General features: G+C 58.5%; 1 protein-coding gene across 4 annotated transcripts in view, besides 6 other annotated features; it reads left to right on the forward strand.

Moving 5' to 3' along the window:
* The window catches only part of ADGRA1 (adhesion G protein-coupled receptor A1), a 43,752-nt gene that overhangs the window by 15,521 nt on the left and 6,703 nt on the right, over window positions 1-21,528 (forward strand). The window contains exon 5 of one of the 4 annotated variants that reach the window (XM_017016779.2): window positions 1,573-4,500. The exons of the other annotated variants lie outside the window; for them this stretch is intronic. Coding sequence (XP_016872268.1) covers window positions 1,573-2,158 — 586 coding nt within the window. The 3' untranslated portion in view covers window positions 2,159-4,500. Of the gene's footprint in view, window positions 1-1,572; window positions 4,501-21,528 lie in introns of those variants that run through there. 4 annotated transcript variants of the gene reach the window in all.
* Window positions 717-1,279: an enhancer, noted in NCBI's record as "H3K27ac-H3K4me1 hESC enhancer chr10:134917665-134918227 (GRCh37/hg19 assembly coordinates)". NCBI's record gives its function as "activates a minimal SCP1, AML or CMV promoter by ChIP-STARR-seq in naive H9 embryonic stem cells {active_cell/tissue: H9 hESC(naive)}" and the evidence as "EXISTENCE:reporter gene assay evidence [ECO:0000049][PMID:30033119]".
* Window positions 1,280-1,841: an enhancer, noted in NCBI's record as "H3K27ac-H3K4me1 hESC enhancer chr10:134918228-134918789 (GRCh37/hg19 assembly coordinates)". NCBI's record gives its function as "activates a minimal SCP1, AML or CMV promoter by ChIP-STARR-seq in naive H9 embryonic stem cells {active_cell/tissue: H9 hESC(naive)}" and the evidence as "EXISTENCE:reporter gene assay evidence [ECO:0000049][PMID:30033119]".
* Window positions 7,129-8,931: a meiotic recombination region, noted in NCBI's record as "meiotic double-strand break mapped by DNA meiotic recombinase 1 chromatin immunoprecipitation followed by single-stranded DNA enrichment and sequencing in the germ cells of some male individuals with the PRDM9 A/A, PRDM9 A/B and PRDM9 A/C genotypes". NCBI's record gives the evidence for it as "EXISTENCE:chromatin immunoprecipitation-seq evidence [ECO:0000229][PMID:25395542]".
* Window positions 7,135-8,931: a minisatellite, noted in NCBI's record as "CEB36 (D10S473) VNTR, 42 nucleotide repeat".
* Window positions 7,320-7,335: a nucleotide motif, noted in NCBI's record as "nucleotide motif; similarity to the predicted 16-mer PRDM9 C binding motif, CCNCNNTNNNCNTNNC".
* Window positions 7,654-8,844: a repeat instability region, noted in NCBI's record as "repeat instability region; AluI fragment containing the CEB42 minisatellite". NCBI's record gives the evidence for it as "EXISTENCE:restriction fragment detection evidence [ECO:0001124][PMID:12226793]".

The following is a 21,528-nucleotide window of genomic DNA, read 5'->3' on the forward strand; positions in this document are numbered from 1 at the left end:
TGAGGCCCGGTTGCTGGGATGGGACACTCGCCCTCCCCCGCCGCCCCGGCGGCCTGCACCAGCTGTTGGTCCCCATCCATCCTCAGGCTGGGAATGCACCGTGGCCTTTGTGGGAACCATGGGCCTGCCTAGGGGGGCGGACACAGCCCATGATGGCACAGACCTCCCTCCCTCTCTCCCTCAGTCCAGAGCCAGGGGAACCCAGACGTCCACGTCTGGGAGGTGGCAGGAGCTCCTCTGCACCAGCAGGAAAAAGCCGGGTCAGGGAGCTGGGACAGCTGCTTTAGACGGGGGTCTGGCCGCGGCCGTGACCAGGCCGGAGCTCGCCAGGGAGCTCCAGCGCCTTTGGTGTTTCCTTTTCTGAACTGAGACTGAATCCCAGACACAGTTGGCGAAAGCCAGGCTCGGAGCGTGGCCTCGAGGCCTTGGGTGCCTACCTGGCCCATCCTCTGGGGTTCCCTGGGGCTCCCTGAATGCCTGCCCAGAGTAGCACCCTGTGTGAGGCACCCCCGCCAGAGGCTGCTCTGTGGCCAGCGGTCCCAGGGGGTCTTGGAGGACATTCATCCGGTTGCATGGGAGACGTGACCCGGTGCTGGCGCACGGACACCTGCTTCCTCGGAAGGGCTGTCCGGCACTGTCCCGTCCAAAACGGTCTGAAGAATTCATTTCAAGGCAGATACAGCCACGTCCTGTATTGTTCCAGCAAACAGCACTCATTTGCACCCGGAGCATTTTCTGACACTGTTTGATTTTCAGATCCACGCAGACACGTTGCCACTTAGCAACCAGGGCTGGGTGGTGCTTCTGCCGCTGATGGGGGCTGGGGAGGTAGGGTTTCATTATCTTGCCTCTCCTGCCAGGGAGGCCCCAGGTCCCCTGGGTGTATAAATCACTCTCAAAATGCGTTTCCTCATCTGTAATTGATGGAAGAGCTGCCTGGTTTTGAAGACCAGGCTGGCAGCCGTGGAACACCCCGGCGCTCTTCCATCCGGTGTCTGCCAATGCGCGCCGCAGAGCCGTGCGTCTGTCCAGGTGCTGGGGGGCCAGCGGGCCCGGGGCTCGGCACTGACCGGCGGACCCAGCGACGGCAAGGCCCTGCTTGCGGCCATGGTGCCGAGGCGACTGCTTCCTCCTGGGGCTGCCTGGAGACCCCCATCCTCCACCCCCTGCCCTCTGGGCCCCCTTCCTGTGTAAGAAAGGTCTTGACATTGTGGCAGGGGGTGTCCACACAGTGCCGTGTTCCAGCTGTGTTCCTTGGTTCCTGGCCTGCCTCGTCGCTCCGCCTCCCCAGCCGCCCCCCCGGTGTCTGGCCAGGGCTCAGCCTGTGCACCCCTGAGGCAGGTGCAGACTCAGGAGTGGTGGGCGGTGTTAGCTTGGGCTTTGCCGAGGGCCTGCCCTCTCCGTGGCTGGGCCTGGGGCTGCTGGGGGACTGTGCTGGGAGACTGGGCTGCACCTCCTCAGGGAGGCCAGCAGGCTGGAGCGGGGCCTTTCTCCCCACACCCCGAAGGTGCTCACGGTCTGCCCTCCAGGCCCTGGTCCAGAGCCTCCGCTCACCTCCCCCTCCTCCACCAGGAAACCTCCTCATCAGAGAAGCCCCTCCCAGCGGCCCTGCATCCCCAGCCCCATTCCCAGAACTCTACATGGCCCACACGTTATCCACGCCAGCAGAAATTTAGTTCCTGAGTTCCAAGAATCTTGCGGTCTGGGAGGGAAGGGCACAGACGCCTCTCCAGGCAGCACGTCGCCCACACCCTCTCTGGCCGTTCCCATCCTGCCCTCTGAAAAGAATGCCCACACCACTTCCTGCCGGACCCTCCGCCGGGACAGGGCAGCGCAGCCAGCTCCCACTCACATGGGCAGTGGCCGAGTCTCAGCCGCCGTGCATGAAGGAGCCGTGTGTAAGCCCCCGTCCCCGGCCCAGCTCTGCAAGTGTTTAACAAGAAATAACAAGAAAACGGCTGTCCCCGAGAAGCAGCTGCGTGAACTCAGGACGCTCCTGAGCAGCCGACGTTTTGAGAAAGCCCTCGCCATCCTGAAGGCCCACAGCTGGGGTTGGCCCACATGCAACGGCCACCTCTGCTCTGCTTCCTGGAAACCAAACCTTCAGAGTCCAGGGAAGATACAGCCATGTAAAATGTTGCTGCGCTGGTGTCCGTGAGCATTTCACACGCCTGAGCCCCTTTCTGTGTGAGCAGGGGGGATGCCCCACCTCGGCTGGGGACCTCCCCTCTCCACAAGACAGCCTGGTCAGCAGAGGGGGCGGACACCCCCCAAGACCCCCAACTCTGCAGGGATTGGACTCCGTGGGCAGGAACCTGCCCTCTGGTCAGGGCAAGGTCAAGGAACAGAGGGGCCAGTCCAGGGAGGCCCAGCAGCGAGAAGCCAGCAGCCTCTGCGGCCCGAACGTTCCAGCTGCAGGGGCCAAGGTCACAGCCGCCATCCACCTCTCCCCTCAAGCAGGAGTGTGGCCCTTGTTACTAGGACAACCCAAGCCTGGACTCTGCACCGGATTCTGCCACTTTCTAGATGGGGATTCACCTGGTCTCATCTCCCCTTAGTCCCAGCATGAGCCCCCCATGCATGTGGGCCTGTGTGGAGAGATTTGGGGGCACCCTCTCCCACCCCGGTTAGGAGGCACTGCACAGCCAGGCCCTCAGAACCGCCCTGGGTCTGTGGAGGGGCAGTGGCCTGATGGGGATCCCCGCCCTGATGGGTGTGTGGCCTGGAGCCCACACCAGGGCAAGAGCGGTAGGACTGGAGCCTGAGGGGGGCGCTTTGGATCTGGGGGGCGCCGGAGCCCCTGCTGGCTGGAGCTTCCCTGCTTCAGTCCCAGGCCCATCACTCCCCTCCATTCACACAGCGTTTTCTCCAAATTCCAGCAGCATCCGGTGAGGCCCCTGCTGACCGAATGAGTCACACGCAGGCTCCAGCTCCTGGGAACCCTTAGAGACCCTTTTCCAGGCCCAAGCTGTGGTCCTGCCTGGGACCCTGCCCAGCAACCCCACCAGGATGGGTCCCTCTGCTCTCTTCAGCCCCTGCTGTGCCAGGATCTGGTCATCTCCATCCACCCACATGCATCCCTGTGGGCGTCCCCAGCACAGCAGCACTGGGCCAAGGAGGGTGCCCAGGATGGGCACAGCCTGGCCTCAGGGCGCAGGGGACTGGAGAGCCCCCAGGAAGGGCACCAGCCATGAGATGCTGGCTTCCCCGCATCGGGGGTACGGCAGCAGACACCCATCCCAGATCCTGTCGAGGTGAGGCCTGGGCGAGTGGATGGACGTCACACAGAGTGTGCAGCATGCTTCCTGGGGGAAGGCCATCGAGGCCAAAGACCCTCACAGATAAAGCGGAAGGTCATGTCTCTGCACACAGTCTCACCCCCGCGGCTCAGAGTGCCCATCGCGGGCTCCTGGGCAGTGTTTATCTGGGGCCACGCCCGCTCTGAGCGCCACTGGAGTCACGATTGCATCTGAAGGCCACGTTAAGAAGCGTCACCGTTTCAACAGCACCACGTCTTCCAATTCGTGAGCACAGGACGTCTTTCCTTTTATTTAGCTCTTTAATTTCTTCCAGCAAAGCGTTGCTGTCTCCAGTGTACACATCTTGCACCTCCTTGGTTGAATTTTTTTCCCAGGGATTTTATTCTTTTGATGTTATTATAAATGGGGTTCTTTTCTTAACTTTCCTTTCAGATTGCTTATTTGTTTGTGAACAAAACACAACCGATTTCTGTGTGCCAACCTTGTGTCCGGCAGCTTTGCTGAGTTCCTTTATTGGCTCTAGTTGGTGTTTTGTTAATTCTTTAGTATTTCCTGTATATATAATTATCACGCCATCTGTACATAAGGATAATTCTACTTCTTCCCTTCCAGTCTGGAGGGCTTTATTTCTTTTTCTTGCCTAATTGTGCTGGCTACAACTTCCAATACAAAATGAGTCTCTCTTTTTTTTCTTTGTCGGTCTAGCTAAAGGTTTGCCAATTTTCTTGATCTGTTTAAAGAGCCAGTTTGAGTTTCATTGATGGTCTTTATTTTTCTGTTGTCTATTTTATTTGTCTCAGCTCTGGTCTTTATTACTTCCTTTCTTCTGTTAGCATTGGATTTAGCTTGCTCTTCTCTTTTCAGGTTTCTTGTGGTATAAAATCAGATGGTTGACTTGAGCTCATTTTTCTTATGTGGATGTTCACAGCTATGAATTTTCCTCTGAGTGCTGCTTTTCCTGCATCCCTGAGCTGTCTCGTGGGTTTTTTTGTTTCATTTATCTCCACATAGTCATTTCTGCTTTTCCTTGTGATTTCTTCTCTGGCCCATTGGTTGTTTTAAAATATGCTGTTTAATTCTCACAGATCTCTAGATAGTCAGGGAAAAAACCACCCTGTCTAAAATTGTGCTGCAACTTTTAGTGTCAAGCTGAATGAAGGGAGTCCCCACTTGATCAATGCAGTGTGGTTTTGGGTGGCTTGTCTCTGCAAGGAGATCTTCATTACAATGATGAAAAACATTTTTTCATTTCTTTTCTGTGATTTGGGTACAGCAGAGGGGTGTGAGGGAGTGGGTGACCCTGCACATCCTGCTGTGTGGCCTGCCCTGGCCAGCCCAGCCTTCTTCCCTTTCTCCACATGTGAGGAGTGGAGTGGATGTGGGCACGAGGGGCCAGGGAGTGCCTCAAGGTTAGGCCTGGACCAGGCATCACACAGACCTCCCCGAGCACACCTGGGAGTGTGCAGGACCTGCTGCCCTGCTGGTGTCTTCAGTGCAGGCATGGTTGTAGGTTGTGTGTGAATCTGGTCCCTGGCCCCAGAGCTCTGCCTCGGGGCCTCCTGTGGGTGAGAAACCACACAGAACCTGGCGTGAGCCTTTGGCCAACAGAAGTGTCACCCTCAGCCTTGTAGGGGAGAGTTTAGGAGAAGGACAGGTGCAGCCTCAACCGAGGAGTCCATGGACTCTTGGCACTGCTAAATGGGGCTAGGGTGACTCCGTGGAGAAGGAAGCAGGGAGGGACACCAGAAGGGAAGGAGGAAGAGGATTGGCAGGGAGGAGACAGAGGTGTTGGACACAGGACCCCCCAGGCCCACAGAGGCACCGGCTCAGCCACCCAACCCCTCACAGTGGTGCCTCCTTGGATTCAGGCACCCTCACCTTTGACCAACATGGTGGCCACTGTCACCTCCCAATACTCTCAAGATTCTAGACACTAGACTCTGTTGCAAGACTCTGTTGCCAGTCCACAAAACACCATTTGCAGTCTGCCCACCAGTCCTGACCACTACACACATTTGCCGCAGCCTCCTGATGCCTCCCTCAGATATCCCAAGACAGCTCAATACTGGGTGCATGTGGCCCCAGCTCCACCCCTCCCCTCACATCCTCCATGGTCCCAGCTCCACTCGGCCCCAGCTCCACCCCTCCCCTCATGTCCTCCATGGTCCCAGCTCCACTTGGCCCCAGCTCCACCCCTCCCCTCATGTCCTCCATGGTCCCAGCTCCACTCGGCCCCAGCTCCACCCGTCCCCTCATGTCCTCCACGGTCCCAGCTCCACTTAGCCCCAGCTCCACCCGTCCATCAGTCCCACAAAGGAACCAGCTCCACTTGGCCCCAGCTCCACCCCTCCCCTCATGTCCTCCATGGCCCCGGCCCCACCCCTGCCCCTCATATCCTCCATGGAACCAGCTCCACCCCCACAATGTCTTTGCAGCTCAGCAGCAGCACTGCTCTCCCAGCATTCGTGTCTGGGTGCTAGACATTTTGCCAAACTCTCTACCCCCTTTCCCAGATCAGGCCACACCTCCAGGCCCAGGAGTCTTCCCCACCTTTCCTGTCCCTCCTCCTCTCCCAGCCCCCGCTCCCTGGACCTCATCTTTCCTGCTCTGTGGACTGCCCTGACCCCAGCGGGCCTCCAGGTCCCTTTCTCAGCCTCCTGCTCTGCCACCTCCACACCACCTGGATACTTTTTCTCCCCAGCTGGAAGCCTGACTGCTTGCCCCCACGACCACTCCCCAGACCCCCCATTGCTGCTCAGCTGTGGCTCAGAGCCTTCCTGTCTGCCCCTTCCTGGCCTCACCTGCCCTTTGAGCACTGAGGGTCGGTCCCTCCAGTGGGATGGTTACCTCCCGTCTCCATTCCAGCCTCCTCCCTGCACCTCAGCTTCCTCTTAAGTGAGACCCCGACCTTCTGCCCGGTGCCCACCTCCTATTGCAGAGCAACTGTCCCCTGACCTCTCCTCCCCTCGATGACAATGACGGGAAGGTCCCTCCTGGTTCATATTCTCCAGGCTTGGCATCCAGCCCCTCCTGATTAAATGTTGAAACCAGAAAGAGACAAACGGCAGGGATGTAGTAAATATGTGTGAAATCGGCCTCCAGGCTCAGCTGGGCTGGATGTGTCGATGGAAAGCAATCAGTTTCATACTTTGTTCTGAGGCTTGGGTGAGCAGCACACTGCCCGTCATGCAGTGTCAGGCCCCACGGCCTCTGCACACTCAGGGCGGGGCTGGAAGGACTCGGGACTCAGCAGTGGTGGCATTCCTGGGTGTGGTTTGTCTCCACAGAAAGATACACTCAGGGAGGGGCTGGAAGATACACTCAGGACTCAGCAGCGGCGGCGTTCCTGGGTGTGGTTTGTCTCCACAGAAGGATACACCACAGGGCCAACGAGGGAAAAGACATCCAGCAGGGTCCAAGACTCCAGGTGCCGTCTCCAAAGTTCTCCTGTCCTGGGAGACGGCAGGTGGGGAGGATCCACACGGAACCTGCTCCTTCCTCCAGCAGCAAAATGCAGCAAAGTGTGCCCCGCACTTCTGCCCAGGAGGCCGCTCAGGCTCAAGCTCCGCATTCTTGCTGGGACAGGTCACTCCTGTGTGCTCTGCCAGCTCCGCTGGCCACAGCTACGGAGCCTCACACTCTGGCGGGAAGGCAGGTGCTGCCGTCAGTCATAAGGTTCATGCAAACAGCCCAGGCTGCTGTAGTGCCACATCCTGCGTCCCTGCACACAGAGCAGCCTTATCAGGCAGTGCGTGGGGAATGTGCTGAAAGCCACTGACCCAGGCACCTGCCACGCCCCAGAGCTGGCCCTTCTGCAGAGCAACACTGAGCTGCACAGGGTCGAATGTTCAGAGAGAAGCTCCTTGGATCTGCCATTTCTAACTATATGAGTGAGAAGAAAGAAAGCCTGAGAGAGAGAGAGTCGGTAAGAAATATAAAGAAATACTGGAAGAAAAAGAATAAGGGCAAATATTATGCACCCTGAGCTGACCCTTTGTACACAAAACAAAAGCCAGTGGTCTGATGCCCATGTCTGAACAATTAGCCTGCTTCCTCTATACCCATATCTCACAATCCAGATTTATTTTCCGGAATTCTGTTTTGACCTCTATTCAGCCTCTTCCCCTTCCTTGTCTTTAGTTTCCTGCCCAATCCCTTTGCCGCAGAGTGATGTCTGCATGGGGCCCTGGACACAGGTGCTGCTGGATAATTCAGTGATCCCAGGTCCCCAAGCACCTGCTCCAATGTGAGCACAGCCCACTGAAGGGTTGTTTCTGAATCTGTTAAGTGGAAATGTGGCTGAACTGGGGAGGTTCTGGGTAGGCTGGGCCACCTGCCCACCAGGGACACCTGCCCTCCTAATCCTGCCAAGCCACCTGCCTGCCATGGGCAGCTCCCCTCCTAATCCTGCTGGCCACCTGCCCGCCAGGGGTGCCTCCTCTCCTAATCCCACCAGACCACCTGCCCGCCGTGAGCACCTCCCTCCTAATCCCTCCAGACAACCTGCCCACCACAGGCACCTCCCTCCTAATCCCACCAGACAACCTGCCCACCACAGGCACCTCCCTCCTAATCCCACCAGACAACCTGCCCCCCCGGGAACCATCCCTCCTAATCCCACCAGACCACCTGCCCACCACAGGCACCTCCCTCCTAATCCCACCAGACAACCTGCCCACCACGGACACCTCCCTCCTAATCCCACCAGACAACCTGCCCACCACGGACACCTCCCTCCTAATCCCACCAGACAACCTGCCCACCACGGACACCTCCCTCCTAATCCCACCAGACAACCTGCCCACCACAGACACCTCCCTCCTAATCCCACCAGACAACCTGCCCACCACGGACACCTCCCTCCTAATCCCACCAGACAACCTGCCCACCACGGACACCTCCCTCCTAATCCCACCAGACAACCTGCCCACCACGGACACCTCCCTCCTAATCCCACCAGACAACCTGCCCCCCCGGGAACCATCCCTCCTAATCCCACCAGACCACCTGCCCGCCACGGGCACCTCCCTCCTAATCCCACCAGACAACCTGCCCGCCACAGACACCTCCCTCCTAATCCCTCCAGACCACCTGCCCACCACAGGCACCTCCCTCCTAATCCCACCAGACCACCTGCCCACCACGGGCACCTCCCTCCTAATCCCTCCAGACCACCTGCCCACCACAGACACCTCCCTCCTAATGCCTCCAGACCACCTGCCCGCCGTGAGCACCTCCCTCCTAATCCCTCCAGACCACCTGCCCACCACAGGCACCTCCCTCCTAATGCCTCCAGACCACCTGCCCACCACAGACACCTCCCTCCTAATGCCTCCAGACCACCTGCCTGCCATGGGCATCTCCCTCCTAATCCTGCTGGCCAGCCCACTTTGAGGAAGGGCCTCTAAGTAGACAGAACTTTCCACATTTTCTGCTCCCTTTGCCAGCCAAAAGGAAGACACTCCAGAAACAAGCAGACCTTTTGTGATTTCATAGGTGCTCGGGGGCTGATTCCCCATTTAGCCATGAATAATGACATCTTAATTTTGCAGTACGGCCACCCTTTCTGATCAAGTGCACCAAGCTGTGTCAGTTATTTGGGGTCTGCGGGCCGCATCGGTTATCTGGGGTCTGCAGGCTGCGTCAGTTATTTGGGGTCTGCGGGCCGTGTCGGTTATTTGGGGTCTACGGGCCGCGTCCGTTATTTGGGGTCTGCGGGCCATGTCGGTTATTTGGGGTCTACGGGCCACGTCAGTTATTTGGGGTCTGCGGGCCGCGTCGGTTATTTGGGGTCTGTAAGCAGTGTTGGTTATTTGGGGTCTGCAGGCCGCGTCGGTTATTTGAGGTCTGTGGGCCGCATCGGTTATTTGAGGTCTGCGGGCCGTGTCGGTTATTTGGAGTCTACGGGCTACGTCGGTTATTTGGGGTCTACGGGCCGCGTCCGTTATTTGGGGTCTGTGGGCCATGTCGGTTATTTGGGGTCTACGGGCCACGTCAGTTATTTGGGGTCTGCGGGCCGCGTCGGTTATTTGAGGTCTGCGGGCCGCGTCGGTTATTTGGGGTCTGTAAGCTATGTCGGTTATTTGGGGTCTGCGGGCCGTGTTGGTTCGGTTATTTGGGGTCTGTAAGCTGTGTTGGTTATTGGAGGTCTGCGGGCCACGTCGGTTATTTGGGGTCTGCGGGCCGCGTCAGTTCGGTTATTTGGGGTCTGTAAGCTGTGTCGGTTATTTGAGGTCTGCGGGCTGTGTCGGTTATTTGGGGTCTGCGGGCCGCGTCAGTTATTTGGGGTCTATAAGCTGTGTCAGTTATTTGGGGTCTGCGGGCCGCGTCAGTTATTTGGGGTCTATAAGCTGTGTCAGTTATTTGGGGTCTGCGGGCCGTGTCGGTTCGGTTATTTGGGGTCTGTAAGCTGTGTCGGTTATTTGAGGTCTGTGGGCCACGTCGGTTATTTGAGGTCTGTAAGCCGCGTCGGTTATTTGAGGTCTGTAAGCCGCGTCGGTTATTTGAGGTCTGCGGGCCGCGTCAGTTATTTGAGGTCTGTAAGCTGTGTCAGTTATTTGGGGTCTGTGGGCCGTGTTTCGGTTTGGAAGTCCAATGGCACCGCGGCACTTAGATTCCGTGTCACGGCCCGGCTTGCCGAGGATGCCTGCTCCCGCCTTCACCTGCCTCGCAGCCTCCCCAGTGCTGGCCAGGCGCTGAGGGATGCTTGACCCCACCCCATGGATGAGTGATTTCCTGGGGCTCCTTCAGCTGGGAACCCTCTCTAGGCCACAGGGCAAACTCTGGAGACTGCCTTGGGCTTGGGACCTGCCCGTGGCCACGCACTGGGCCTGGCTTGGACCCCACTGGGCTGGGGCCCTCGGGCACTGGGGCCCTGGGAATGGCCAGTAGGAGGTGTCCACTCCCTCCTGTTCCATCTGGAATGCGTGCCTGAGGCCAGTCCTCAGGATGAGCTGCCTAAGGGCGGGCAGAGGTCACAGGCGAGCAAGCGACCTGGCGCCTGCCACTTCCAAGAATGTGGGTTCACTGGGAGAGGGCAAGGATGGGGGTGGGTGGGAGGGAGCCGAGGGAGCTTTGTGCGGGGAAAACCCTGGAAGGGAGCAGCTCTGAGATCTGTGAAGCAGCCTCCCGCCCCTTCCCCATGTCCCTGTGGACCCTCGGACGTCAGGCCAGGAAGGGCCTGGGCCTCCCACTTGGCCCTCTAGCCCAGCCGTGAGCTTTACAGATGGGGAAACCAAGGGCCCACAGGCACGGGGACTTACCCAGAGCCCTGGCCTGGCCACCAGGACCTGGCATCTCACACTTTGGCGGTCCCCTGACTCTAGACACCATGAGTACCTCCGTCTCCTGCCCGGTCCTGTTGTCTACTGACAGCAGCGCTGGCTGAGGAAGGGAGGAGGTGCCACGTGGTACAACCCCTTCTCCACCCCTGGGAACAGCACCAAGCCCAGTGCCCGCACACTTAGCTCCCCTGAGCAGGAGCAGAGGGCACTGGAGCTTCAAGGGCAGAGCGGGACACACCGCCACTGATGCCTGGGTCCAGGGATGGTACCTCGAGGCCACATGTGGCCTGACGTCCTGGGACACAGACCTCGCCCTGGAACATAGGTGCTCTTCACAGCACAAGTGATCCTGCAGACCCATCCTTGGGCACCCACTGCAAGCGGACCAGAGCGGCGGTGCTATGGCATTCAAAGCATCTTGTCAGTCACGAAGCGTCCTCAGCTCATGTCTGGAGCTGGGCATTGTGGTGCCGTCTGCAGGGTACAGCTGGTGCCCAGGACAGTGGCCCTGTCCTTCTCCACCTGACTCCTGTCTCGCCAGCCTACCTTCCTCCCGACACCCGCGGCGTCCTCCTGCATCCACCCTCAGAGGTTATCGAATGCCGAGGAGCCCAGGATGCACTTCCGAGGCTCACTGGTGACTTTCCGGAGATACTTAGGCAAATGGACATAAATAGCTCTTGGATCCTAGCAGGAATTCTCAACCTCATTTCTCGGAATTCAGAAGTCACGGTTAACTCAAAGAATGCTAAGCGGGCCAGGGATCACGATCTCACAGATGGGTCCCGTGTCCCAGGGCAGTGAAGGTGCCGGGGCCGTCTCCTGAGCTGTCTGCTGCCCGGTCCTGCTCCGCCCGCCCCTGCGCCCCTGCACCACCAATCCAGGCAGCTCCCTGAGGCTGCGGTTTCCTTGGCTCCTTCTGCTCCCTGGGCAGTGCCAGCCTCGGGTCCACACCTGGAATCCACCGTCTTTCCTGTGAAAAATGACCTCAGTGCATCGAAGGCCCCCAGGGGCCGCAACTCCATGAGTGCGACTGGTTGGTGGGGCAGCGCCACTGTCCTGGGGACGTGCTTCCAGTGGAGGGGTGGCTAGGAGCCTGGGGGGCTTCATCGAGAGGGTCCCGGAAGGGCCCAGTGGTCAGATTTCAGCGGTGCACCTGGGCCTCAGGCGATGGATGAGGTGCACCTGGGCCTCACCCATCGCCTGAGTGGGGCTGTCCCGAGTCCACCCTCAGCCCCTGAGCCCTCCTCACCCCTCGGCCTTCCCCTAGGCAGGGGTGGCGCAGGCTGGGGGCGTCCACATCGCCTCCAGCAGGGCAATGGCACACAGGCTCTGCCCAGCGGTCAGCAGCAGGCACGGGCAGGCACAGGGAGCGGGGAACCCCAGAGTAAAGGGAAACCGACAAGGCCTCTGCACCTGTGAAAGCCGGGCCCTGGATCTGGCCAAAGAACAGTCCTCACGAGGCCACAGCTGGACTCAGCCTAGAGGCCTGACCCCAAAGGACATGGTAGATCGGGGGTACCCCGAGAAGGGCAGCCCCCAGGCCTGGCCCATGCTTGGCAGAAGGGCGCGCAGTGCTAGCCAGCCACCTCCTTGAAGACTTGGTGGGAAATGAGTAATCACAGGTGGCTCCCCAGGAGGGAGGCCAGGACCCCGCCGGCACTGTGGGGACTCAGCACAGCCGAGGGTCGGCCGATGGCGTTGTCACCCCTCCCGGGCCCCTTGAACCACCCACTGCTGGGACCCTTGACACACCGGCTGCAAGCCTCCAACCCTCACTGTCCTCAAGAGGGCCACGTTCCCTTGTCCTCTGAGCCTCCAGGGCCACACATCAGACCCAGCCCTGAGACACCACTGCCAGGTCCTGGTGTACTACAGCCCCCAACCCCTCCCTGCCTTCCAGAGACCCTGCCCCAGGGGAGAGCTGGCGCTTTGCTCCAGCATCCACCCAGCAAGACCCTCTCCCTAACTTATCCCTCCCGCTCACCTCTCCCCTTCTCCCTCCCTCTTTTCCCTCCCCATTCCCCTCTCCCTCCCCCTCATTCCTCCTCTCCCCTCCCCACCTTCCATCGGCTTCAGGCCAAGCCCAGGGCTAGACGCATGCCTGGCCCACCCACGCCGCTCTGCAGGGGCATTCCTCGTGGAGCCCAGGCCCCTTGCCCCCCTACCCTGGGCCGCTGCCCAGTGCGAGGCCATACGGGGCGAGTGTGGATTGGGTGAAAGACACAGTAACGAAATGTGGTGAAAATGCTCCTGGGAACCGAGCTGATCCGCAGGGCCTGTGCCTTCGCCTATAACAGTCCCTCGGCCTGTGGGGGACCCCAAAGCTCCCAGCCGCCCTCCCCGCAGGGCCTGTGCCTTCGCCTTCACTGTCCCTCAATCCCAAAGCTCTTAGCTCCTACGTGGTCCAGGCTTTGTCAGCGCCCCACCCCCACCCCCCGCCACCACCCACGGTCCCTTCAGGGCCACCACGGCTACTCCAGCTCCCTCAGTCCCTGTCTGGGGGGCGTCCCTGGGCCCTGCCCAAACCCTTCTCCCACCCAGACCACACCCAAGGCCGCCCACCAGCTGCCCCCCAGCACACCCAACCCACCCACAGGCGTCCTCTCCCCCCAGGTGTGGCAGGGCCTCTCACGATGAAGAGACGCAGACACTCAACCAGAAACGGGCAGCCCGAGGAGGGCCCCCCTTCCTCAGTGGTGGGGATGCCACCTGTGTGCCAGGTGGAGCCGATGGAGCCCCAGGCTTCCTTCCTTTTGGCCGCGCCTCTTTCTTTCCTCCATCCTCTCCTCCTCATCTGACCCCCCAGCTCTGGTCAGTTCCGAGTCAGGCAAGGGGTGGGCAGGCGCCTCGAGCAGAGACTCCTCCAGGAACCCAAGCGAATGAGGAACGCCAGGATAGTGTCAGCACAGATGCAGGTCTGACCCCCAGTTCGGGACAGAGGGCGGGGAGGGTAAAGGGCGATGGGGACGCTTCTCACCATCGCTGTCCCCATCCAGTCACTGGAGCAGCTTGTGGAAGGTGGCCTCGGTCGGTCACGCTCTCTGTAGTGGGGTCCAGGGCTCAGTCCCAGGTGCTCTCATGGAGGCACAGGCAGAAGGGGGAAGGGGAAGGTATGAGCCAGCTGGTCGCCAGTATCAGAGCACCCCGAGTGAGGGGTCAGTGCCCGGCAGGAGCTGTGAGCCACATGCTATCTGGTCCAGAGCGAGGACTGCTGGCCACCTGTCTGTGAGTGGACAGAGGGACACAGTCCAAGGCACAGAGGCAGCACCCGGAGCCCACCCCTGCCCACTGCCTGGGCCCGAGACCCGAGACCTGTGCACACAGAGCAGGCACGCGCCGAAAGCCTGGCCTGAGTGAGTGCCCGGGGTGCCCAGCAAACACCCACGGAACAGCCTACTGACGGTGCATCCAGCCTGGAGCCCCACAGAGGCCAAGCGCTCAGCGTGGCCACACCAGACCTGCCCCCTGGGAGGTCCGGTGCACTGTGGACGTGGGCAGGGCAGAGCCCGGGAGACTGCCTGGGCCAGGAGGCCCCAGGATCAGGCCCTCACTAGCCCGGGCACCTGCTCAGGGCTGGTGCTCCCTGGTCCTACCCCTGGCACTCAGGCCGTGGACGGCCAAGAGGAGGCTGCCAGTTGTCAGCTCAGCATCTGGAATGGGCCTGGAGAAGGGGATTGACTGTGTCCCTGACCTCAGCTGAGTCCCATGTATTTCTGGGTTCTGCACACGTGACCTCAGTGGTTGAAATAACAAGGGCAGCCGGCAGTGACTTAGAGACACGAGACTGGCTGCTAGGCAGCTTGCAATCTGGTGACTTCATTCTGGGATCCTGGGAGGAGTCCCTGCCAGGCCCAGCTCCCCTGTCACCCTAGTTGCCAGCTCCAGCCAGTGGCCAGACAGCAATCATCCCTGCCCCTCCCTTTGCCCACGTGCTGGTCGTCCCCCTGTCTGGGACAGCAGCTGGGGCTGCGGCCAGTTGACTGGCAAAGCTGTGTTTGACAGTGGAGGCTGGGAGGGAATGAGCCAGCTGGTCAGGCCAGCCAGGTGAGCCCTGCGGGGAGCTGGACGTGTCCCCAAACTGACACCACCGTCCCCAATCAGCACTGGCACCGGCTTCCAGATGATTCTCTGGTCTCACCATCTTCAGGAACTGAGGCCCCACCAGCCTCTTCCTGCCTCATTTCCCAAACTGCCTTTTCATTAGAGAGTAAAACCCCTTGAGGACCAGCGGATGTACGGTCCATGGAGGCCTCAGGTCACGGTGCCCACAGGATTTTTAAGTTAAGGTACGTACGTTGTTTCTTTAGACATAATGCTATTGCACACTTAGTCAACTACAGTAGAGTATAAATACAACTTTTATGTGCTGTATTAGTCCATTTTCACACTGCCATAAAGAAATACCCAAGAGTGGGTAATTTATAAAGGAAAGAAGTTTAATTGACTCACAGTTCCACATGACTGGGAGGCCTCAGGAAACTTACAGTCATGGTGGAAGGTGAAGGGGAGGCCTCAGGAAACTTACAGTCCTGGCAGAAGGGGAAGGAGAAGCAGCACCTTCTTCACAAGGAGGCAGGAGAGAGAAGGGAAGAGTGAAGGGGGAAGAGCCTCCTATAAAACATTCAGTCTCGTGAGAACTCATTCAGTATCATGAGAACAGCATGAGGGAAGCCGCCCCCTGATCCAGTCACCTCCCACCAGGTCCTGCCCTCAACACATGGGGATTATGGGATTACAATCTGAGATGAGATTTGGGTGAGGACACAGAGCCAAACCATATCATGTGCACTGGAAAACCAAAAAATTTGTGTGACTCACTTTATTGCAGTGGTCTGGAACTGAACCTGTACCACCTCTTCAGTGTGCACACACACATCACACACACATGCACTCATACACTTACACTCACACACGTACACTCACACACCACACACACATGCATTGCACACATGTGCACACACACTCATGCATTTACATCACACACACGCACCACACACACACTTGCACTGCACACGTGCACATTGAGGCACTTACATGCACTCACACCACACACATACACTCTTGCATTGCACACTGCACACACACACGCACTCACATGCTCACATCACACTTGCACGCACACCCGCAAAGCACCCCACATGGAGCACAGCTCAAGTCACAGCACAGGTGAGGGCTTCAGCTAAAGTGCAAACCGAGACGGGCGTGGCAGAGGAGGCCATGACCATGACCTGAGGTCTCCGCGGACCTTACAGCCACTGGTCCTTTATTGCCAAAAAAAAAAAAAATGCTAGTGACTTCAGCAAGTCATAATCTTCCTGCGGGTGGAGGGTCTCACTGCGATGTGGATGGCCGCTGGGGCTGACCAGGGTGGTGGTGGCAGAAGGCTGGGGCGGCTGTGGCAGTTTCTTAAAATAAGACAACAATGACATTTGCCACATTGATAGACTTTTCTTTTCACAAAAGAGTTCTCTGTAGCACGTGGTGCTGTTTGGTGCACTTTACCCACAGTGGAACTTCTTTCAAAACTGGAGTCATCCTCTCAAACTCTGCCACGGCTTGGTCAACTCAGTGTATGAAATAGTCTCAATCCTTTGTTGTCATTTCAGTAATGTCCACGGCATCTTCACCAGGAGCAGATTGCATCCCAAGAAACCACTTTTTTGCTCATCCATAAGAAGCAACTCCTCACTGGTTACATTTTACTGTGAGACTGTAGCAATTCAGTGCCATCTTCAGGCTCCACTTCTAATTCTTGGGTGGCCAGGAGCATTGTCAACTAGCAGCAATATTTTGAAAAGAATCTTTCTGAGCAGTAGGTCTCAACAGTGGGCTTTAAATATTCAGCAAACCATGCTGTCAACAGATGTGCTGTCACCAGGCTTTGTTGTCCACTTAACGGAGCACAGGCAGAGTAGATTGAGCATCATTCTTAAAGGCCCTGGGATTTTCAGAATGGTGAATGAGGATTGGCTTCAACTCAAAGTTCCTGGCTCCGTTAGCCCCTAGCAAGAGAGTCAGCCTGTGCTTGGAAGCTTGGAAGCCAGGCATTGACTTCTCTCTAGCCATGCAAGTCCTAGCTGGCATCTTCTTCCAGTAGAAGGCTTTCATCTGCATTGCAAATCTCTTATTTAGGCCAAGCGCGGTGGCTCATGCCTGTAATCCCAGCACTTTGGGAGGCCGAGGCAGGCAGATTACCTGAGGTCAGGAGTTCGAGATGAGCCTGGCCAAGATGGCAAAACCCAGTCTCAACAAAAAATACAAAAAATTAGCTGGGCGTGGTGGCAGGTGCCTGTAATCCCAGCTGCTCGGGAGGCTGAGGCAGGAGAATCACTTGAACCTGGGAGGTGGAGGTTGCAGTGAGCCAAGATCATGCCACTGCACTCCAGCCTGGGCGACAGAGCGAGACTCTGTCTCAAAAAAAGAAAAAAAATATATCTTGTTTAGTGCAGCCTCCCTCATCGCTATCTTGGCCAGATCTTCTGGAGAACTTGCTGCATCTTCTCCATCAGCACTTGCTGCTTCACCTCACCTGCACTTTTACGTTATGAAGACAGTTTCTGTCCTTAAACTTCATGAACCGACTTCTGCTAACTTGGAGCATTTTTTCTGCTGCACCTCTCTCAGCCATCATAGGGTTAAAGAGAGTTAGGGTCTTGCTCTGGATTAGGCTTTGGCTTGAGGGAATATTGTGTCTGATTTGATCTTCCATCCAGACCATTAAAACTTTCTCCACATCAGCCATGAGGCTGTTTCACTTTCTTATCATTCATGCGTTGCTGGAGGAGCACTTTTAATTTTCTTCAATAATTTATCCTTTGCATTCACAACGTGGCTGTTTGTCACAAGAGGCTGAGCTTTTGGCCTATCTCTGCTTTTGACATGCCTTCCTCACTAAGCGTAATGATTTCTAGTTTTATAAATAAAGCAAGAGATGTCCAACTGTTCCTTTCATTTGAACACTTAGAGGCCATTGTAGGGTTATTAATTGGCCTAATTTCAATATTTCTGTGGCTCGGGGAATAGGAGGGAGATGGGGAACAGCCAACCCGTGGAGCGACCAGATCACACGGGACATTTACCCACTAAGTTCACCGTCTTATACGGGCGTGGTTTGTGGTGCCCAAGACAACTACCATGGAAACCCCAAAGATCACTGATCACAGCTCCCCATAGTAATCATGGTAAAGTTGAAATATTTACAGAATTACCAAAATATGACACAGAGACATAAAATGAACACACGCTGTTGGAAAAATGGCGCTGATGGACTTGCTCAACCCGGGGTTCCCACAGCCTCCACCTGTGAAAAACTCAGGACCTGCAAAGCCCAGGTGCACCTGTGCACGTGTGAGTGCCTGTGTGTGTGGAATGTGCCAGGGTACGTGTGTGCATGTGTGTGGTGTGTGTCAGTGTGCGTGTGTGCATGTGTGTGGTGTGTCAGTGTGCGTGTGTGCGTGTGCGTGGAGTGTGTCAGTGTGCGTGTGTGCATGTGTGGTGTGTGCCAGTGTGCGTGTGTGCAAGTGTGAGTGCCTGTGCATGTCCAGTGTGCCAGTGTGTGTGTGAGTGTGCTTGTTTGTGTGCATGCCTGTGCATGTGTGTGCCTGTGCGTTTGTGCATGTGAGTGCCTGTGTGTGTGATGTGTGCCAGTGTGCGTGTGCATGTGTGTGGTGTGTGCCAGTGTGCATGTGTGCATGTGAGTGCCTGTGCATGTGGAGTGTGCCAGTGTGCGTGTGAGTGTGCTTGTGTGTGTGGTGTGTGCCAGTGTGCGTGTGTGCAAGTGTGAGTGTGCGTGTCGTGTGCCAGTGTGTGTGTGAGTGTGCTTGTGTGTGTGCATGCCTGTGCATATATGTGTGCCTGTGCGTGTGTGAATGAGTGCCTGTGTGTGGTGTGTGCCAGTGTGCGTGCGTGCAAGTGTGAGTGCCTGTGCATGTCCAGTGTGCCAGTGTGTGTGTGAGTGTGCTTGTGTGAGTGTGCATGCCTGTGTGTATGTGTGTGCCTGTGTGTGTGATGGGTGCCAGTGTGTGTGTGGTATGTGTGTTCCAGTGTGTGAGAGTGGGGGGGCATGTACGTGTGGAAGTGTCATGCAAGCATACGTGTGTGCACGTGTGAGCATGCGCGTGGTGTAAGGAGAGGCGCAGCATGGAGGCAGAGGCAGTGCTGCTCACCTGAGCCCAGGGACACAGTGTTGGTCTCAGAAGGGCTGCCCTGGGTGGCACCTGGGCCCAGGACCTTTTCGCTCAGGCTGTGATGGTGCCACTGCAACCGGTGAGAGGTGTGCAGCATCAGCCATGGCGGGAACAGAGCCGTGGCAGGACCACACCTGCAGTCTGCGTCCTCGCCCCGTTTCCCCGTGTCCCAGCGTGTGCTGATTCCGACCATCAGCTCCAACCAGCAGCGGGCTAGTGTGCCAGGAGGGATCACAGAGCCGGCAGCACTCAGGCTGGGCACGGGGCCGAGGGGCTAATGGGCGAGGGGCTGGGCAGGGTCAGCTGCAGGTGCCCCCTCTACTGCGAAGCTCCACCTGCACCACAGGCCTGTTTCTTGTCTCTTTCTTCTTTTCTTTCCTTTCCTTTTAAAAATACTTTCTAGATTTAATCATTTTTGAGTGTGCAGTGGAACATTTAGGAAGATGCCAGACACACCAGCACCGCCCAGGAACCTGCTGTCTTGGCCGGACACACCAGCACAGCCAGGAAACTGTGGTCACGACCCGCGGGGCAGAAGCGAGAACCTTGGGGCCGGCCCCACCCCTGGCCGTGCCTCCCTGGCCTGGCCCTGGGGCCTCCTTGTCTTTCCTCCCGGTTCACCAGCCAGGCACACGCATCCCCAGGCACACGCGTCCCCAGGCACACGCGTCCCCAGGCACACGCGTCCCCAGGCTGCACTGGCTTCGAGCTGTGTGTTCCTGGAGTTGTTGTCTCACCTGGTTTCATAGCAGATTTCTCTGATTTCTTTCCCTGCACGTGTTTCTTTAAGGCCCATCCTGTAACCGTCGGTAGCTGGGGCTCCCCATGTCCATGGCTGCACGGGACCCGCTTCTGGCGAGACCACGGGGCTTTATCCCTTTATCCCTCCTGCCGACTGTGGCACGTTGGTCTCCGAGGGCTCAGGTGGTCTGCAGGCTCGTCCCACCCATGCGGGGCTCAGCTCTAAGCCTGCTAACTCCTCACAAGCCCATCCCTGGCAGGGGCCCCGCGAGTCCCTCTGCGCCCGTCCCTCTGCGCCCGTCTGTGAGCATTGCTGGCTGCGCCGTCCTCTCTTGCCTCTGTGAAGCGTGTGCAGGTCTCTTCCGCTCTCTTCTGGGCCGCCCACTCTTCCTCACTGACGGGCAGGAGCCTGTGTTTGTTCCTCACATCAGCCCGAGCGGCAGAGACTTTCCCTTTCGCTGAGTCAGCTTTGGAACCCAAAGTCTGTGATACTGGGGTGCCTCGTGCTTCTAGGGATGGTTTAAGGTACCCGTCCTCATGCCACATCCACACCATGTCTCCTCCACGAGGCTCCCCAGTCACCCCCTGTGAGCAGCAGCACGCCCGTCCTGTAACTGTGTGTAGCTGGGGTTCACCGCACAGCTGGGGCCGCACCGCCTTCCCGTGGCTGCTGTGGCCACGGTGAAAGCTCAGTGGCCTAAAGCAACTCAGGGGGATCATCCGACAGTCGAGAGGCCGTAAGGTCCGAAATGGGCCCCGCTGGGCCGACGTCGAGTTGTGGGGAGGACTGCCTCCCTCCCCCCCCCCGGCACCTTCTGGGGCTGCCTCGGCCACCGTCACTCCTGGGCTTGGGGCCTCCTCCACCCTGAAAGCCAGCAGCCCTGCGTCCTCTCTCCACTGGGATCTCTGCCCTCCCTTTTAAGAGGACGCCGGTGATGTCAGTACAGCCAAACAACCCAGGGCAGTCTCCACCATTCACCGCCACTCACTTAACCCCATGTGCAAGGTCCCTCTTGACGCGTGAGGTGAAACCTTCACTGGTTTCAGGGAAGAGAACGTGGATGTCTGGGGGTGTTACTCAGCCGACATAGGACCGAGCTCTTGTTCTCCTGTGCGATGCTCATCTACCTGCCCCGGCACTGATGGCCGCTCCTCCCTCACTTGGCACTGGGTCACGTGGTGATGCACTCAGGGCTGGTCCCAGGCTCTGCACCCTCCCCGGCCAGCCCACCCTCTTGGGCTCTGCACCCTCCCCGGCCAGGCCACCCTCTTGGGCTCTGCACCCTCCCCGGCTCTGCAACCTCCCCGGCCAAGCCACCCTCTTGGGCTCTGCACCCTCCCCGGCTCTGCACCCTCCCTGGCCAGGCCACCTTCCCCGGGCTCTGAGCAATGTGCTCTGCCGTGAGTCAGCTCCCGCTTTGCCCCTCCGGACACCTCTGGGTCGGGTTCATAGCTCCCAAGGGGAAGCTGTTAGGATTTCACCGAGATTCAGATCCGCCCTCCCTTTCTAGAAACCTTCCCCCAAAGGCAGTGGTTGGCCTGACTCGCGGAAATCACGTAACCCGGAGATGTCCCAGCGAGTGGCCCTGGCGTGCGAGCCGCTGCCCCAACGCTGGGCACCTGGGCACAGAGGGGTGGGGTGGCCATTCCCCGACGCCCAGAGTCTGCCTGGGGCTTAGACGGGATTCGACGTAACAGAAGATGACGCTTGAGTGACAGATTCGTCAGCGCCCAGAGGAGGAGGACAAGCTGGACCCCTACCCTGGTTGGGGCTTGGAGCCATAGGAGAGGGTGTTCCCAGCTGCCAGACGGGCGGGAACAACTCCCCGGACACCGGTGGGCCGAGGCTGTTGCGAGGGGCCCACGTCAGGCGGTGGATGGTGGATGCTGGACCCAGCGGAGCACCCCCTTCCCCCGGCCCCGGCCCCGGCCCCGGCCCCGCGCCTGCACGTCCACGGCGGTGACTGCCCAGCGGCGGCGGCGAGAAAAGCGGCGGCCTCCCGCGCCCTCTGCCGGCTCACCGGGAAGGAGCCCGGAGCCGGTGGTGCGCCGTGG

The sequence above is a fragment of the Homo sapiens genome, chromosome 10 (genome assembly GCF_000001405.40).
Source record: "Homo sapiens chromosome 10, GRCh38.p14 Primary Assembly".
NCBI lineage: Eukaryota > Metazoa > Chordata > Mammalia > Primates > Hominidae > Homo > Homo sapiens.